The sequence below is a fragment of the Homo sapiens genome, chromosome 8 (assembly GCF_000001405.40).
Source record: "Homo sapiens chromosome 8, GRCh38.p14 Primary Assembly".
Classification (NCBI taxonomy): domain Eukaryota; kingdom Metazoa; phylum Chordata; class Mammalia; order Primates; family Hominidae; genus Homo; species Homo sapiens.
In genome coordinates, this window is record NC_000008.11 from 81,520,262 (window position 1) to 81,540,061 (window position 19,800).

Genomic DNA, 19,800 nt, shown 5'->3' on the forward strand with positions numbered 1-19,800 from the left:
TCTTCATTTAATTGTTAGCTTGTGCAGCTAGCAATTTATTCTAACAATTTATCCCTAACAATTTACTTGGTTAATTGACTTGGTTAGTTGAAACTTGGGCTCAACAGCAGACTGATATTTAATGAGACTGAGATTCTAGAATTTCCTTGGTCTGACATAGAGAAGGAATCCAAAATCTTAAGGAAATTAGAATTTGGGAATAGTCTATCATATGCTAGGCCCAGAAGATACTTCCTTCACTAAAGTATGAGAAATAAGTGAGAGGAGCATGAGTGTCCTTAAAGAGCTCTGTGGTAACTGTTGTGTAGATGGGATACCATGGTGAGAGGTGCCACCACAACACAATTAATCAACATTTGGTTGTTTTCTGCTTCTGTTTCTTCTTCTTCTTCTTTTTTTTTTTTTTTTTCATGTGAGACAGAGTTTTGCTGTTGTCACCCAGGCTGGAGTGCAATGGTGCAATTTCGGCTCACTGTATCCTCCGCCTCCCAGGTTCAAGCAATTCTCCTGCCTCAGCCTCCCAAGTACTTGGGATTACAGGCATGTGCCACCATGCCTGGCTAATTTTTGTATTTTCAGCAGACATGGAATTTCACCATGTTGGTCAGGCTAGTGTCAAACTCCTGACCTCCAATGATCTGCCCACCTCGGCCTCCCAAAGTGCTGGGATTACAGGCATGAGCCACTGCACCCAGCTGTTTTCTGCTTCTTAAATCTACAGCTCCAAAAAGTAATCTTTCTGATCAGTTCAGGGCATAAGAGTTCATGTAGGGTGGATTTCTCAGGCTTTACAAGTTCAGGTTAGTAGTTTTAATAATGCATTTATTTATCATATTCATTATTACATAAAAAGACTCTAAAAGAAACTCTAATAATTATTTTCTTGATTTCTGGAGATGCATTCTGGCATGCTTCTCCAGAAATTAAGACCTATTTTGAAGTCTGGCCTTGGTATTGATTAGCTGAGGAACTTTAAGGAAACCATTTAGCCTATCTGAGTCTCAGTTTAATCTCAAAGAGAAAATGAAGTTATGCATAGAAAGTTTAAACATAGTGCCTGACACTTAGCAAGACTCAATAACAGCTGTTATCATTGTTATTATTTCATTTTCCATCTCAGGTTGTCAATTGACTTATTCAAATAAAACATGATTTTCCCAAACTTATAGACAGGAAATATTCAACATTAATTCTACTGTTAAATAAACCTAAACGCCTCCTCTTTCTTTTTTTTAATTTTTTATTTATTAATTATTTTGGTACCAAATTTCTTTATTTGAAGGAATGGTACAAATCAAAGAACTTAAGTGGATGTTTTGGTACAACTTATAGAAAAGGTAAAGGAAACCCTAACGTGCACGCACTGCCTTGGTGACCAAGGAAGGCACCCCACGGCTATGGGGAAATTAGCCTGAGACTTAGCTTTCATTATCACTGTCTCCCAGGGTGTGCTTGTCGAAGAGATATTCTGCCGAGCCAGATTCGGGCGCTCCCATCTTGCGCAAGTTGGTCACGTGGTCACTCAATTCTTTGATGGCTTTCACCTGCTCATTCAGGTAATGTGTCTCAATGAAGTCACACAAATGGGGGTCATTTTTGTCAGTGGCCAGTTTGTACAGTTCCAGTAGTGACTGATTCACATTTTTTTCCAAATATAATGCACACTCCATCGCATTCAGCCCGCTCTCCCAGTCATCACAGTCTGGTTTCTTGATATCCTGAAGGAAGATTCGGCCACCTCGTTGGTTCTGCAGCTTCATCAGTTTCTCAGCATGTTCCCTCTCCTCATGAGATTGGTAAAGAAAGTATTTGGCAAAGTTCTTCAAAGCCACATCATCGCGGTCAAAGTATAAGACATGGACAGGTAAAAGTAGGAGGCGCAGAGCTCCAGGTTGATGTGGCGGTTGATGGCGGCCTCTGAGTCCTGGTTGTAGTCCTGGCGCTCCTGCGAGGTGGACGGGGTCGCCATGGCGGCGACTAAAGAGAGGCGGCTGCAGCGGCGGCGCTGGAGCGGCGGCGGGGGGACCTTGGGGCGGTCTGAGGGGGCGGTGAAGAGGTGACGGACGGCTGGCTATGGGCGGCCGGCCGGGCTAGGGGAAGAGCGCTGGGTTCCGTCCAAGCACTGTTGAAGCAGGAAACCCCGACGACTCTCGGCGAAGACCGTCTCCGCCTTCTCTTTCTTTAGTTGGTGTTTTTTAAATTTCTGTTCTAGCAATATTTTGGCTACGTCTGAATCAAATAATATGGTTTTGTTTAAAACCCCAGACTTTTCCCAGCTTAAAAAGAACAGGTTATGCCTCACTAGGAATAACTCCATATTCCTTAAATATCTTGACTGATGATTACTGACTTGAGCTGAATTAATGCAAACTGCACTGAGGCTGTGGCCCAGAAAGAGAGATGTCATGAAAAGGAGTGATAGGAGTCCATTCATGCTGATATGTCTGCCGCCCTATTGCTAGTTGTCTTCCATCCTGGGCAAGGCAATTATTCACCAAGAAAGTGGTTTTAAATCTTTCTTTCCAAGTAGAAACATTTGTATTATGGCGGGGCGTGTGGCTCACACCTATAATCCCAGCACTTTGGGAGGCCGAGGTGGATGGATCAGTTGAGGTCAGGAGTTCCAGACCAGCCTGGCCAACATGGCGAAATCCTGTCTCTACTAAAAATACAAAAATAGCTGGGCATAGTGGTGTGTACCTGTAATCCCAGCTACTAGGGAGGCTGAAGCAGGAGAATCGCTTGAACCTGGGAGGCAGAGGTTGCAGTGAGACAAGATTGCACCACTGCACTCCAACCTGGACAACAGAGCGAGATTCCATCTAAAAAAAAAGAAAGAAAAAAGAAAAGAAACATTTGTTTTATAATCTGTTGCTTATACATTCCTGGAGATTAGTACACCCATGTGATGTCTTTCCAATATATCACTTCTCTATGGAGTTGATCAAGATCAGCAAGCATGACTTCATTCTCCTTCTATCCCCGGCTCTCATGCAGTGTCTGGTGCACAGCAGATGTGCAGCAAATCCTGAATTACAACATCACTCAGGAGCTGTGGTATGTCTTGTTTGATTTGGTTTATTTAGATCAGTTTCCCAACCATCCCTGAGAGATATGCACTTCGATCAACCACAGTAAATGATTTTCTACTTTAATGATTCTCAACTGCATAAAGGAAATGAGAAGACAGGAGGCATGCTGCTCATCTCTCCTGGAAATGTGCAGTTGCTGTTGTTGTATTTTTGTGGGTTGTTTTTTCAGTTGAGTACTCAAACATCCCTAGATTTTATCAGATTGTTGACAAATGAAATCATATTAACACCTACATCCAATGTCATGCTCCTGTTCATGAAAAACTCTAGCCCTTGAAAGTCCATCCTTCTCCCAGCCCCTGGCCCCCAGGTGTTCCTGAGAGTCATCAGGGATGTCTTTCCTGGGTTCTCCTGGTATCTGCTAACTATCCCTTCAGCACAAGGCTTCCTGCATTGGTTCTTATTGCCTATGAGAGTATCTTCATGACCACAGTAGGCAAGACACCCTAATGCCAAAGCCAGGAGCACCGTTTTTCAAAGTTCCCATAGCTACTGACTGTGGAGGTGTCAGAGCAGTGCTGGGCTCCTTTCCAATAGGGGGACTGCTTCTCCTCTGTCTTTGCAGCAAGCTGTTACTTGGGCCTGCAGTAGAGCTGCTCACATCCACAGCCATGCACAGGGCCTCAGGAAAACTGCTCTTTCAGCGTCTGCCTCGAATCCTCTCTCTGTCCAGTCCAAGTAGCTGAGGGTACAGATATCTTTGTGTGCCTTCCATTGTCCTCTTCGTCATTTCAGTACACCAAAAAATAAACAAGCACTTCTTCCACATCTACCAGACGACTGAGATCCCCCATATATCAATTCAGACAAATAGGCAATGACAGGCCTCAGGTTCAAACGGTAAAACTCTATATCCTCATCTGGACTCAGCTGTGGCATCCTGCTACACATTTTAAGACAAATGGAAGCTTGTTTATTCATTAGTATAATGTAGTATTACACTTGGTTCATAATTGTACACCATAAACCTCTTTCTACCTAACTGTTCCAATCTAAGTTCACTTTGTTATGGTTGTAAGGTTAATAACTGGGCAACATGGATTCTGGTTCTAATTCTTCCTGAAACCATCTGAGTGATAGTAAAGTGTACAATTAACTGTCTCGGGCCTGTTCCCCCAACCACAAAATAAAGTGTTCAGTCCACACAGTTTCTAAAATCCCTCCTAAGCCTGAGAGTGCATGAGGTTTTGTGCTAATAAAACAGAATATTCTTTGCAGTGGCTTTCAGTGATGTTGGTAGTGGATATGGAGTTCTCTGTCATAACAGTTTAGTATTACATTAGGATGTCAATTACTGCCTTAGTTCTAGACATGGTTTCTTATCTTTTCATATATAACTGAGGTGTACCTGCAAGGTGCGCTGTATTCTATTTATTAAAAAATATTATTTTCCCAATAAAGTGCAGATTATGTTGAATTTAGAGGGTGGACATAAAATGCATCATAAGAAAAAAATCAACATGAAGTGCCTCTCTGAAAATATCCCAGCCTTGCATTGAACAGGATATATCATCCTGGATTCTCATGGCCGCGAATGCCAAAGTACTACATGATACAGGCATGTGCAATTTGGCAAGCAAAATTATTGATGCTTGTGCAAAGAAAGGCTCTCTCATATTAATAGTCGTAATATTTTACTTTGGAGTTTTATTTAAACAACCTCAGTAGTTTGGATGACAGCTTGAGAAAGCCTTAAGAGTTTGAGACTGAGTTTGATGATACTTTCTCGTATGTTCGTGTACAGATAACACTGTTCACAGTACTTTCCTACAAGACAAAAGAAATATGAGGTATTTCAGTATAGTTAGTGAAATTAACATTTAGAAAAGTGCAAACTAAGTACTATCCACACATACATTCCTTAAAAATATTGAAAGAGAGGCCGGGCGCGGTGGCTCACACCTGTAATCCCAGCACTTTGGAAGGCCAAGGTGGGCACATCACCTGAGGTCAGGAGTTCAAGACCAGCCTGGCCAACACGGTGAAACCCCGTCTCTACTAAAAATACAAAAATTAGCCGGGGATGATGGCATGCGCCTATAGTCCCAGCTACTCAGAAGGCTGAGGCAGGAGAATCACTTGAACCTGGGAGGTGGATGTTGCAGTGAGCCAAGATCACACCACTGCACTCCAGCCTGGATGACAGAGTAAGACTCCGTCTCAAAAAAAAAAAAAAATAGATAGATAGATAGATAGATAGATGATAGATAGATAGATAGATAGATCTATATAGACTATAGATAGGACCTATCTGTTAGCTGGTTTTGCCATGTTCTATATAACCTATGTATGGCGAATCACATACATGTGGTATATTTCGGGTATATATAATGTTTATATATGTATAAAGCAAGGCATACAATTTGGAATTTAAGTTTTTATTTAAATATTTTAAATGCCAACATTGATGCATTTTGCTATTTTACATACTCTACACTTTCTAAATGATAATACTAGCTTACATTGATGTAGTATTTTATGGTTTTCAGGGCACTAATATACACATGATGATACTTAATTCTCTCAGAAAACCTTTGGCAAAGACACTTTCTACATCTTGAAGGCAAGGAATCTGAATCTTGAAGAGATTAAATGAATTGTCCAAAGTCACGTAAGTACTGAATGGCAGGGGTGGAAATCCACATCCTTTGATTCTGAGTGTAGCATTCTTCCTAATGAACTATAAAAGCTTTCTGTTTATTGGCTAATGTCATTATAAACAGCAATAAAATCAATCATCCTTAGTCTTCCCCTTGTGAATTTATAAGGAATAAAATGTACTCTTCATTGTAGAAAGAAAAAAAATCACTGTATTAAGAAACAAGGTTAGATTTTTGTAACCTACACACGAATCTTGCATATTCCCTTAGAACTATTTTATATTATGTAGAAAGTTACCTTTTTACTCATTTTGGTATAGGTGGGGGTTTGGGAGAAGGAAAATCATGAACACACATTCTTCTACTCTGGAGAAGTGGGGAAGGTGACCTGGGAAACCATCTGAAAGGGAGCAGGATGGATTCTATAAAATATAGAGTGTTCAATGAAAACAACCTGATGCTCCTCCCAGTACCATCACATTTTTCTAGCTGCATATCCTTAGGTAAGTCAATGTCTGAATTTCAGTTTCCTCACTGTTAAATGGGATAATAAGCTTTACCTTACAGGATTATTGTGGAAATTGGGAAATAATATTAATATATGAAAACATAGGGGCATGATAGTGACATGTATTAACTCATTCATACACCAAAAAAACACCACTTCAGCTTCTTATCCCTGGTCTAGAATTCCTTTTCATGTTTTTGTTTGGTGTTGAGATGGAAAAACAGTGAGAAGTTAATCCTGGAGTGGAGTAGAGGATTGGCAACAACCCTCAACCCCTGCTAAAATCTTCATTGCACAAATACATGCTTGCTTTGTTTTACCTGTGAGTCAAAGGATTAGGCTGCATGATATTTTCATTCTCTTTAGTTTTTTAGTTCCTCAATCCACACACATTTTATATAATGCTTACGATTATACATTTATCTCATAATTTTTTTCTCATTCTTTAAACTATGAGAACAAGGAAAATGGCATTCATTTTCATTGTTTGAGAACAAGTTGTGATTTTATATTAGTCGTTGCAGAAGGTGGGAAGAAAGCGAGGATGGGCTAACTCACCACCACCATTTTCCCATCCACCAGCTTTCTCGTTATGGTGGTTTCTTTGCCATCCCAGTCCTGAACTTGAATCAGGGACTCCTTATCTAAGGTTACTTTACTCTGAAAAACAGAAAAAACTAAATTCAGATCAGCTTGTCATATTTCAACATTAAAATTTTATCAGGCAGCAAATTCTTTTTAGCTGTTGTAATACTCTCAGGTAGTTTTAGAATGGTATTGACAACTCTATTTATTTTAAGACTTTGTCAGCAGTAAAATTGTTGCCTAATTCTGCTGAAGAAAAAAGGTTTTACAAGAGTAAAACTGTAATATTATCTTGAAGAATAAGTAAAATGTTCTTTCTTTTTCTTTTTTTTTGAGACAGAGTTTTGCTCTTGTCACCCAGGCTGGAGTGCAATGGTGCGATCTTGGCTCACTGCAACCTCCGACTCTCTGGTTCAAGCAATTCTCCTGCCTCAGCCTCCCAAATAGCTGGGATTACAGGCACATACCACCACGCCCAGCTAATTTTTGTATTTTTAGTAAAGACGGGGTTTCACCATGTTGGCCAGGATGGTCTTGAATCTCCTGACCTTGTGATCTGCCCACATTGGCCTCCCAAAGCACTGGGATTACAGGCATGAGCCACCACACCCGGCCATGAAATGTTCTTTTTATCTTTGACTGTGTAAGCAGAGTATTATCTTTTTGCATAAAGAATTACAAATACATTTTAACTTTCAAAATAAGTGTGAAACTCCAGCCTGGACAGCACAGTGAGACCCCCATCTCCATAAAAAATAATAAATTAGCCAGGTGTTGTGGCACATGCCTATAGTCCCAGCTACTTGGGAAGTTGAGGTGGGAGAATCACCTGAGCCTGGGTGGTTGAGGCTACAATGAGCCAAGATTGTACCACCGCACTCCAGCCTGGGCAACAGAGACCCTGTCTCAATAAAGAATAATAATAATAATAATACATGTGAAACTAATTCAAACTCCCATTATATGAGCTTACTTAAAAGAAAGAAGGCCTCTTTCCTCTTCTTATCCCAATAATATTTTCCAGTTTTTTTTGTTGTTGTTGTTGTTTTTGGAGATAGGGTATCACTGTGTCATCCAGGCTGGAATGCAGTGGTGCAATCATGGCTCACTGTAGCTTCAACCTCCTGTGCTCCAGCAATCCTCCCACCTTAGCCTCCTGAGTAGCTGGAACTATAGGCACGCACCACCACAGTGGCTAATCTTTGTGTTTTTTGTAGAGGCGGGATCCTGCTATGTTGTTCAGGCTGGTCGTAGACTCCTGGCATCAAGCAATCCTCCTGTTTTGGCCTCCCAAAGTGCTGGGATTACAGGCATGAGCTACCGCACCCAACCTAGCTTTTTTATTCTAGTAGATTTTTAAGAATTTAGCATAGAAATCCATATTAAGCATTTAAGTCAAAAATTTTCTTCCATTTTATATGGTACAAGAATTTAAACTCTCATATTCATTTAGTAACTATTACAGTGGCATGATAGTTCCTTTTATCAGGATATTATCCTCCATATAGTTTAACAATCCTCTATTGAGTTCATTCATTCAAATAATAAATATTTATTGAACAACTGTCATGACCAAGCACGGGGTTCTGTGAAACAGACAGGAAATCCTGTTTTGGATGAGCTCTTACATTCTGGTGTAGGGAAAAAGACTGTAAACAATACGTGTAGAAGTAAATTACATATTATAAATAAATAATATATTCCTGAGATATGTGCCCTTGAGATATGAATGAAAACTCTGTGTGGCACTTTCAGGGTGAGACAATAAAAAGCCCATGTCTCTTTATCCTGGTGTTGGAGAAGACCAGGATGTCCACAGGTGGTAGTTGAACCTCTTTTGGCATGGATCCCTGAGAGATTAGGGGGAGCAGATTTCCTGTTTACTCCACTACACACACACAAACTTCCCCAATGCCACCCAACACTACGTATGTACTATAAGTTAGAAATAAATCCCCATTGTGTTAACTCACTCCAGGCTTGTGGTTCATTGTCACGGTGGCATAACCTTACCTCTGCCAGCTAATACGAGGTTTATTCACTGTAATTCTATGTGTAGAAAACTGCTACAAAATGGATAGGGAAAACTTTTGTTTCTGAGAGGACTAAACAGTAATCTAGGGAAATGATTCTCAAAATGTGGTCTGCTAAGCGTCTGCATCAGATTCATTAAAAATGCAATTTTCAGGGCCTCTGGCAGTGAGCAGGAGGCATTTTTCACAAGCATCCCAGAAGATTTGTATCTTCACATTGACATCCTTAGACCTATGTTTTAGACAAAAGTTCCTCTTAAGGACTTTAGATATGTTTGCTAGAATTGCTTACTTACCGAGGATGATATCTGACTAACATTCTTTTGAAATGTGTCTGAAAGACTGTCGTAGGCCTCACCTTTGTTTTGTGGCCACCTGGCGTGATTTCCTCAAACTCTTCTCCCAGCTTAAAGGAGATCTCATTATTTTTAAAGATGCTTTTGGTTTTTATTGTGATGACATCTCCATCTGTACTGATGGTCACAGTGGGTTTTGCCAAACGGCCCAGTTTCCTGCTGGCTCTTCCTATACCTGGAAACCAGATAAAAGGAGTATTATCTTTTTGCATAAAGAATTACAAATACATTACATTACAATACAATACTTAAATCTGTTGTTGACTCCAAAAACTCAACATTATCTGTATAATTCTTTGCTAACTAGGAGGTTTGCGAATTGAACAGATTTAATGGTGCATGACTTCACATATCCCAAGCCAGCAGCTCCACCATGACATGTTAAAATAGACTATCTTTGCAGAAAAAAAATCTGTCTCTAGTTGTTGTTTAGTGAGTATTCTTTTTCACTAGTCCAGTAGCTATTAATCTTACTGATTTTTGAACCCCTTTGAAAATCTGATTAAAGCTATCAACTATCTCCCTATTTTAAAATTATATCCACTCACATACAAACAAAATACTTTGGTATGGATTTTGCCAGATATTTAGCTCTTCACTTGTATTCTTACATGTATATATATATGGGTTTGTTTCCTCAATGATGTATGTTTTTATTGTGGTAAAATATTTATAACATATATTTACCATTTGAAGTTACAATTCAGTGGTATTGAGAACATCACAATGTTGTGCAAGCATCACCATTATTTATAGGATTTTAAAAAATATGTTATATCTACTGTTTTTCAACTTGCTTTTTCCCCTTATCTTGTCTTGGAAGTTTTCCCCTTATCTATGTCTTGAAAATTTTCCATGTCACTCTATATAGATATATACTTTTTCATAGTACATAATATTCCACAGTGTGTATAGACCAAAATTTATTTTGTCTGTCTCCCTGTTGATGAACAATTCATTTGTTTCCATTTTGGTTATTACAAATAATTATGCAGTGAACATCCTTGTATACACAGCTCTGTGCAGCACATGTAGGAGTATTTTCAGTAGAAATAGCATTACATATACTGCAATACCTAAGTTAAAATTCTAAGGGAAGATATATTGGGAAAATACTATAATGTAGTTCATGGAATTCATATCATAAAACACAATCACAGGATGTGACAGATTGGATAATGGTTCCTAAAGATATTCACGTCTTAATCCCTGGAACCTGTGAATGTTACCTTTACATGTTAGGAGACTGTACAGATGTGGTTAATTTAAGGATCTTGAGATGGGGAGAGTATCCTGGATTATCAGAGCAGATCTCAAACATAATCATAAATTTCCTTTTAAGAGGGAGGAAGAGGGATGCTATACTACAGAAGAAGAGAGAGCAGTGTGAAAATGGGAGCAAAATTTGGAGCATTGCTGGCACACACTAAGGAAAGCCAGTAGCCAGCAGAGGCTGAAAAACAAAATCTACTCTGAACTTTATTCTGAAGATCCCCTAAAGCTTAGAGCAAACATTTACAAAATAATCATTTTAAAAAATAGTTGTATTTTTTTGTTTTAAAACATTTATTAAAATCACTTGCTGTTTAGTTAGTTTATGTAAATTAATGGTAACTTATATGAGAGATTATTGTCAACTCCAACATAGTTTTGCACAGAACTATATCCTGGTACTCAATCAATATTTATTTTTTCCTATGTGAAAAATTAGGGAGTTCAAGATTAATATTATTTTATACAGAGCAAGTTCTGTGCTATCAAAATGCCCATTTTTACTGGATATGATATGCAAGTAAACATAGCTCACCCAGCTCCTTCATGTAGTCTTCGGAATTTTCACAAGAAATGGACTTCCATGTTCCTTGGAGCTGGTCAATCATTCTGTCTGAGATAAGTTGATCTCAAAGAACAGTAGTTTCATGTGTATGCTGGTTTTCCCTGAAGTAGTATGGGAACTTGTTTTTAATACAATTTTGGGTAGAGAATGAGATGAGAAAAGTTAGGAAATAAAATAAGGAACTCTAATCCTTGCAATGTTCCTTGAGTATCATCTAAAGCAGAAAAGCTTTCTTAAATTTAAATACATCAGGATGAAAATGGAAACACAGTAGAGTGTTTAGCAGAACTAGATATACCTTTTCCAACACCAATTTAGCATCAAAACTAAATGTTACTTTCCTTCCCTAGGACCTGCCAGGCACAAAGCAGTGTGTAAGAGCTGGGCCTGGACAGCTGTGTTTATGCCGTGGAACTTTTGTGCCCAGGTCTCTCTCTCTGTCTGTCCAAAGATGATTCAGAAAAAGCCAATTTATTGGCTGTTTGAAGATCATTCTCATTCTTGATAGTTTCAACTAAACACCAGACAGACTTCATAGATGGTACTTGACATTTGAAGTAAAAAGTTAAGTTTAGTAAGGGCTAGAACAACCACTTTAAGTCATGTGCACAATGAAAAAGAGAATGGGACAGAGAAAAAAGAAAGGAAAGAGATCATGTTACAAACACATGCACACACACACACACACACACACACAGCCCTGTTACTGACACTTTTCCAGGTGCCAGCTCAACTTCCCAACGGTTTAGAGAGCCATCATTGCCATGAGAACACCAAATATCTTTTAAGTCCTCTTTAATTTAGGCTACTTTCTGTTCCTTTCAACCCTGACTGTAAAATCTCAGTGTCCACTAATAACTGTAAGTCAGAACAGGGGTCAAGGAATATAACAGCAAATCCATCAGCTAGAGAAGAGGGGACTCCAAATGCTAAGTAAAGGACAAACATGCCCTTATACATTCCATCAGCCCCTGAGGACATCATTGTTAATTCTAGGCAGAGCTTGATGTCCATAGGTTGACACAAAGCTATTAAGAAATACTGAAGTTATAAAATTATTTTAAGACAAGAATGGGGACATGGCATTTTATAATTCCCATTAAAATGTTAAATTTCCAAATTCTAATATCCAGGCCAATAGTCTTACTGATAATTATTCAACTAACATTTATAAAGCAATTAGCATTATATGCCTAATATGAGGCAAAAATTTTGCATACACTACTGATTAAATGTTCCAGATATGGTTGGTAAAGATACTATAGTTTGGCCAGGTGCAGTGGTTCTTGCCTGTAATCCCAGCACTTTGGGAGGCCCAGGCGGGCAGATCATGAGGTCAGGAGTTCAAGATCAGCCGGGCCAATATGGTGAAACCCTGTCTCTACTAAAAATACAAAAATTAGCCAGGCATGGTGCAACGCACCTGTAGTCCCAGCTACTCGGGAGGCTGAGGCAGAAGAATCACTTGAACCCAGGAAGCAGAGGTTGCAGTGAGCCAAGATCGTGCCACTGCACTCCACTGCACTCCAGCCTGGGCAACAGAGCAAGACTCCGTATCAAAAAAGCAAAACAAAACAAAACAAAAAGCCTTAGTTCATTGGTTGGTTTTCCTGAGTAATTTGTACGACTGTGCTCATTCAACTTAATAGGCATGAGGCTGAAGCCAGGAAATGACCCAACATTGAGGGTAATCTGGGCACTGAAGGCACTACAATTCCCAGGATTTTTCAAGAAAATGTCGAATGTGCTGCCACATATGTCGGATGCACATGGATCCCCTCCCACAAGGAAAATCACGATTGAAGATCACCTCCTTGAAGATGTCGTATTGGGAGCGGTGTTTTTCCCTGTTGCTGACAGGTTAGACTTGCACAGGCGTCAGTACTGAGGTGTGAGACGGAGCCCATGTATGGCTTCTATCTCTGCACTGTGGCTGCTCCGTTCATGTGTCAGTCACATCAGCTCAGAGACTGCCTAATGTCAACTGGCCTAGTCATTTTGTCTACTCTGTTGTTCAGTGCCTCTTCTGTGATTGATGCTTTCTAGTGTTCATGAATACAAGAGCCAAAAATCTTCACATATTTTGCCCACTCCTATAGGTTCACACACATTCCTCTCCACCAAACATTCTTGTCTGCAATTTTTCAGTCCTCCTTCCAGGTCCCTGACCAGCTTTTCAGACGATTCGCTTCCACCCATGAGTATATATATGTTCCCATTCCAAGCCACTGTGTCCTCCACATGAAATAGGGAACAGGTGCATGACTCTGAGCTTTGTCCATTGATATGATTTTCCTTACCAGTTCCTCAAGTCCCCCCCACATCCCAAGTGTCATGAAACCACTGCCCATTTTTAACTTGCCTCCACACCCTGTGCTGACTGGTACATTAAACATGCTCAGGTTTTTTCTCCTCCTTTAGCTGGTCACGTGGGACCCACATACTGTCTGGGGCATGATCTGAAGGAGGGGTGCTGGTGCTGCAGTGGTGGGTGACATGGGGATCTGCACCACCTGCTCATGCAGTTACCTTAGGACTTCTGGTCTTGTTTAGGCTTGACCCCAGATGCACAATCTGATCTCACGATGGACTTCTGCTGGACATACCTGACTTGATGACTCTGTGGGTCTGACGGAACCTGGCTCATAATGGACACTTCCAGATACATTGTTACTTGATATCCTATAGTCAAGAATTCTGTCTCTATGGGGCCCCAGTAACACATTAGGCACTCTGTTTTAATAGGTGTATAAGTCTCTGTTACAGATGGCATGATCTTTCTTCACAACCCCAGACATTGGTGCTATGATGCTCACCCACACACATACATACACACACTCTCTCTCTCACACACATACACACACACCATACACATTATATTGCATATTTTCCTCTCACTAACACCTCCAGCACCGTGGAGTTTACCAATCACATGACCCAAGCATCAGGGCAGCTCATATCACAGCCCTTCCTTCCTGCAGACCCTTTCCTGCTCTGGGCTCCACTCAAAGCAGGGAGCCTTTCATGCCATCCAGTATATGGGCTGCAGCACATGCCTAAATGTGCAATATGTTGCCACCATAAGCCAAAGAGTCCCACAAGAATTTTGATAGAACAGGCAAAATGTAGCAATTTGTCTTTTGGAAAAGATTTCCTTATATGTCCCTGGTCAAGCTGGACCCCTAAAAACTTTACTAGAAGTTGCCTCAATCATTACCAACTTTAACTCTCATATTCTGTGTTGAATGTGTCTTACCAAGGCCTCCATTATACTAGCCACTTCTTGTTCATCCTGCCTGATAACATGATATTGTGCCAAGTGTCCAGACAGCCTAGATCTCATCTGATTATATTATGATAAAGAGTAGGAGTTAACATAGCCACAGGACTATGTAACAGGTGGCTCATGCCTGTAATCCCAGTACTTTGAGAGCCCAAGGTGGGAGGATCACCTGGGGTCAGGAGTTTGAGACCATCCTAGCCAACATGGCAAAACCCCGTCTCTACTAAAAATTACAAAAATTAGCTGGGTGTGGTGGTGGGCACCTGTAATCCCAGCTTCTCGGGAGGCTGAGGCAGGAGAATCACTTGAACCTGGGAGGTTGCAGTGAGCCGAGATCACACCACTGCACTCCAGCCTGGGCAACAGAGTGAGACTCCAACTCAAAAAATTAAAAAAAAAATGTAAACATGTGTCATTGTCTGTTCCATGCAAATGCAAATGGTTTCTGATCTTTCCTGATTGAGGTAGGAAAGAATGTGAAATGTGGTCTGACTGAACACCATGTACCTGACACTGTATTAATCTGCACTAACAAAGATAACACATCAAGCACAGTAGCCCATCATTGGGGTTATTAGTTGATTTTTCACTAGGCTAGAAATATTCTAAGATTCACTTGGATTTTGCAGTGATCAGACTCATGAATTAAATGGTGCTATGATATGAACCACCACCTTCTGCAGTCTTAAAGTCCTTTTGAGTAGCCCCAATTTCTGTCATTCCTCACTCCTCCCCTGCCACCGAATACAATGTTTTTTATTCACCATCTTATCAAGGGATGGAGAGAGGATAGCAGTGAAGAAGGTGGGAGTGTGGGGGTGCAGTTTCAGAAGCTTCCATTTTGCCTTCCCCACTATAATAATTCTTGTTTGAATTAGAAAATGAGAAAGGTGGAGCTTACTCCAACAGCCAAGGAGTCAATCCCAATTACGCATTCAAGGCCTAGGGAAATGACTTCTGGAGGAATCCACAGACCTACCGGACCTACTGAGACCTAGACTTTGGCCAGGATTCTATTTATTACCTAGCTGCTGTATGTCTTCACTCTAACATGATGATTTGGCACTCTGTGAATCGACAATAATTCAGACCCGAGGCTGTCAGAATATCTGGATTTTCCTCTTTCCTCATTGCATATTTTCTCAAGTAAACGATAACAGATCTCCTTTGAGGAAAATGGGGGACATTAACAGTTTATGGTATCTCAGGGTTCTTCCTTCTGTGGGCTTGTCACCTATTGAGACAAAGGATTCTGGGTCTGAAAATTGGCTCAGATCTGGAATCTGAGCAAAAGATCATGACTTTCTACTGGGGCGCTCATCCTTAGTCTGCTGCCCATCCATTCCTGCCTTCTTTTGATTGTATGTATGAAGCAGCACCCTTGTTGGCTAATCATCTATTTTGCCTCTATGGATTCAGTGTTATTTTAATCATCTCCATAACCCCTTTCGGGTCAAACACCCTTAGCTGTGCCTTCAGCCTTGCCCTATTTTATGGTGAAGTGCAATCAATCCCCTGGTTTCTGGCAGTAATGTGCTGCCATCTGGCCCAGATTGAATCAAATTCTCTTCATTCCCATTGCTACCAATGAGCTGAACTCTAACAACCCAACAAGAGCAACCACTGAAACTCTTAATGATGCTGTGGCCCTCTCACCAGTGCATTCCTGATGGCCCAGTAAATACGGAACATAATTATCTGTTGCTCTTCTGATGTATATACACATATACATGCACACACACACTTTTTCTTTCTATAGAAAAGTATTGTGACTATATTTATTCATAACAGAAGTACAGATCTCATAACTTTCCTACAAAGCAGGAGAGGAAAGCCCCAGCAGGCAAGATTTTCCAGTCTTTTGTCATATTAAACTTGAGTTATTTCAACGAAGCAATTTGAAGTGTATTGGAGCTGGACAAGACATAGTGGGCACTCTGTAGATATTGGCATGCAAGGAGAACTCAGGCCTTACTCATTTGCAACTAATTCAATAAACACTTGAGTGCCTACTAAAGGAAAGATCCCTAGGATAGGTCTTTCCCACCACTGAGTATATAATGGGGATTGAAATAGAAATCCGAAATGTTTCCAACTCTGTGAAAGAGAATCTGAAACTACACTGAATTCCTTCATGTTTCCCTGTGGGTATCTAGCAATATAATACACAGCTGGAGAATAAGTTGATATTTTAGATCAGGGGTTGGCAAACTATGACCCATATACTAAATCCAGCTGCCACGTGTAGATAAAGTTTTATTAGAACACAACCACACTTATTCCTTTACATATTGTCTATGGTTGCTTTTGTGCTGCAATAGTGAGGTTGAGTAGTTATAACAAACATATGACTGGCAAAGCCTGAAATATTTACTACTGGCTCTTCACAGAAAAAATATTTGTCAACCCCTGTTTTAGAGTCTCAAGTATAAATTTTTAAAACTGGGGATCATAACTTAACAACTACTATAGGCTTTCTTTTCTTGGGATAGAAGAATGGTGGATACCATTTTTCATTTAAGATTTTTCATCAAAAGACATTTTTATATTTATGCCATGGATAATGCCAACAGAAAAATTAATATAAGGAGCCAAACTCCGGCATTTATAAAAGTAACATGAGATGGTTATCAGTCAAATATATGGAATATTTTTAAAATCACTCTAAGTGCTGTAAGACAGAAAGATACGAGAATCAAAAATTAATTGTGTAAGGAAATTGAGGAAAGAAACCTAGTTTAAAAAGCTGTCCTGCTATCTGCTTCTTCCTGAGTCTAAACTGGAATGGTTAATGAGCCTGTTAAATTATAAAGTTTCTTCAGAAATAGCCCTCAGTAGCTATAAAATTCTTCTACTTTTTTTTTTATCACCTTAGCAATATTAAGCCTTCAAGTTTTCCATGCGGTTCTAATGCACTTGGATTAAAACCATTCTGTAAGGAAAAAAATTTACAGTGGCTTTTTAAAGTAAAATTTATTGAAAATGGAGAAAGTTCACTAGAAAAATTTAAGTGCTGTGGCAAACAAAAATTAGCGACCTAAATATCTGCATGAGTCTCTTCTTATATTGGGTGGGCTTTGTAGGAAGGGCATTAACGAAACTGGGTCATCTCTTAGTATTTTCTGGCTAAGAACATCGGGAAACTTGGCCATTCATGAGGCTCAGGGTGTTTCTGCCTTGGTGCTGCTACTCAAATGCACACCTGGAGGTGGGCAGTGGACAGGAAGCTGAGCTGAATGGCTGGGATGAGGCACGTGGTCTTCCAAGCAAGCAGTAACATGGCACTGCTCCATGCCAACATTCTTCACACAGTTCAACTTTTTTTTAATAGTGTTGGGAATTGTGTTTGACCATTTTTGTGTTGCTATAAAGGAATACCTGAGACTGGTAACTTATAAAGAAAAGTGGTTTAATTGGTTCATGGTTCTGCAGACTGTACTGGAAGTATGGTGCCAGCATCTGCTTCTGATGAGGGCCTCAGGAAGCTTACAATCATGGCAGAAGGCAAATGGGGAGCTGGTGTATCACATGGCAAGAGCTAGAGCAAGGGACAGAGATCGGGAGGTGCCATGCTCTTTTAAACAACCAGATCTTGTGTGAGCTCAGAGCAAGAACTCACTCATTATTACGAGGGCAGCACCAAGCCATTCATGGAGGATCTGCCCCCACGACCTAAACACCTCCCACCAGGCCCCACCTCCAACACTGGGGATTATTACATCTCAGTATGAGATTTGGAGGGTGTAAGCACCCAAACTATGTCTGAAACTGTAGTGGGTTGAACTGTGTCCACCACAAAAGATACGTTCAAGCCTTAATCCCCAGTACACTTGTAAATGTGACCTTCTTTAGAAATGGGATCTTTGCAGATACTAATTAAGGATCTCAGGTTGAGACTGTATTGGATTTAGGCAAACTCTAAATTCAATAACATATGTTCTTATAAGAGAAAGGAGAGGGAGATTTAAGACATATGGAGACAAAAGAAAAGGTCACATGAAGATAGCAATTGACGAGCTGCCATAAGCCTAGGGACACCATGGATTGTCAGCAGCCACCAGAAGCCAGAAGAGAGGCATGAAAAAGATTCTCCCCCAGAGCCTTCTAGAAGCTACCAACACCTTAGTTTCTATCTCTGGCCTCCAAATCTGTAGGAGAACACATTTCTGTTGTTTTAAGCCTCTAAGTTTGTGGCAATTTGTTGTGGCAACCCCAGGAAAGTAATACAGAGAAAAATCTCATTTTAAAGAATCTTAGGGACCTTTATGTTTTATTTTAATTTTTATTACTTTTTAATTTTTTTATTGTTTTTGAGATGGAGTCTCACTCTGTCACCCAGGCAGGAGTGCAGTGTGCAATATCAGCTCACTGCAACCTCCACCTCCTGGGTTCAAGAGATTCTCATATCTCAACCTCCCAAGTAGCTGGGATTACGGGCGTGCACCACCACACCCAGCTAATTTTTGTATTTTTGATAGAGATGGGATTATGCCATGTTGGCCAGGCTGGTCTCAAACTTCTGACCTCAAGTTATCTGCCCACCTCGGCCTCCCAATGTGCTGAGATTACAGATGTGAGCCACCAAGCCTGGCTACCTTTATGTTTTAAATAAAAAGTTTATTTTATTATGTAAAATGCCATTTAAACTTATTTGCAATTGTCTTTATTACACAGAATTGTTTTTTGTCAGTTAAAAATGATAATACTTTTCATCATATTCACCAAGGATAAAGGTAATTTTTATAAGTAATAGTAAGTTATTATGATAATGGAATAAAAGGCTGAATAATAATTATAATAATTATATGATAAAATTATATAAATTAAATTTTTTCTGAAGTTCATGTAAGAAAAACATTTTCCTTACTTCTTTAGTTCTTTTTTTTTTTTTTTTTTTTTTTTTTTCTAATCTCTCCCTCCTTCATCACCCACTCCCGTCAATTTTCTTTTGGAATCTTTGTAATCATACAACATCTTTTGCGTGAATACTGAAGAACTTAAGATTTAGGCAATAAAATAAATTAGTTGATGCTGGTAAACAGCATGCTATGCGATGCCTTACTCTGTTTTAGAATTTCAGCAGACTGCTCACTGAAGGCTGCTCTTAGGGTTGAGTGCTGGCTTGCTGGTGCTGTCTGCTTCTGAGCAATCATGTGATTCAGACAAATCAAAATAATACACGGAATTCCTGGAGGGATGAATAAAGACAGCAAGGTCAGACCCAGGCAGCCTGAAGGCCTATGATTCAGACCCTGCTGGGTTCCCAGGCTCTCCCACCCTTTGCTTCTTACAGCTGGAGCTGTTGGGACCCCACCTGCTGCCTGAGCACTTGCCCCCAGGCTCTCGGCCAATTACGCTTTAATCAGATTATTGCAGAGTAGCAGTAACCTCATGGTTCTCAAGCCTGACTTGCATTTGTAAAAATGCCAACTCCTATGAGCCGGCATAGGTCAGAATTGCCAAGGACAAAGCCTGGGAATATATATTTCTAAAATTATTCCCAGGC

The 19,800-nt window shown here is 40.1% G+C and overlaps 1 protein-coding gene, 1 long non-coding RNA gene and 1 pseudogene across 6 annotated transcripts in view; 1 reads left to right on the forward strand and 2 right to left on the reverse strand.

Moving 5' to 3' along the window:
• LOC101927118 (uncharacterized) overlaps positions 1–19,800 on the forward strand; it is a 117,987-nt gene that overhangs the window by 58,804 nt on the left and 39,383 nt on the right. The window contains exons 1-3 of one of the 2 annotated variants that reach the window (XR_242492.3): positions 2,796–3,057; positions 5,582–5,703; positions 6,013–6,195. This is a non-coding gene — a long non-coding RNA (uncharacterized LOC101927118). Of the gene's footprint in view, positions 1–2,795; positions 3,058–5,581; positions 5,704–6,012; positions 6,196–19,800 lie in introns of those variants that run through there. The other variant, XR_001745980.2, reaches the window with a different exon arrangement.
• On the reverse strand, positions 1,259–2,166 carry FTH1P11 (ferritin heavy chain 1 pseudogene 11; annotated as a pseudogene).
• Positions 4,720–19,800, reverse strand: part of FABP12 (fatty acid binding protein 12) — a 65,159-nt gene continuing 50,078 nt past the window's right edge. Inside the window, exons 2-6 of one of the 4 annotated variants that reach the window (XM_011517577.3) lie at positions 19,357–19,482; positions 10,982–11,112; positions 9,177–9,349; positions 6,759–6,860; positions 4,720–4,859 (exon numbers count right to left, since the gene is read on the reverse strand). In XM_011517577.3, coding sequence (XP_011515879.1) covers positions 4,785–4,859; positions 6,759–6,860; positions 9,177–9,349; positions 10,982–11,054 — 423 coding nt within the window. In that variant the 5' untranslated portion in view covers positions 11,055–11,112; positions 19,357–19,482 and the 3' untranslated portion in view covers positions 4,720–4,784. Of the gene's footprint in view, positions 4,860–6,758; positions 6,861–9,114; positions 9,350–10,981; positions 11,130–13,540; positions 13,682–19,356; positions 19,483–19,800 lie in introns of those variants that run through there. The other 3 variants (XM_006716465.4, NM_001105281.6, NR_144370.1) reach the window with 3 other exon arrangements.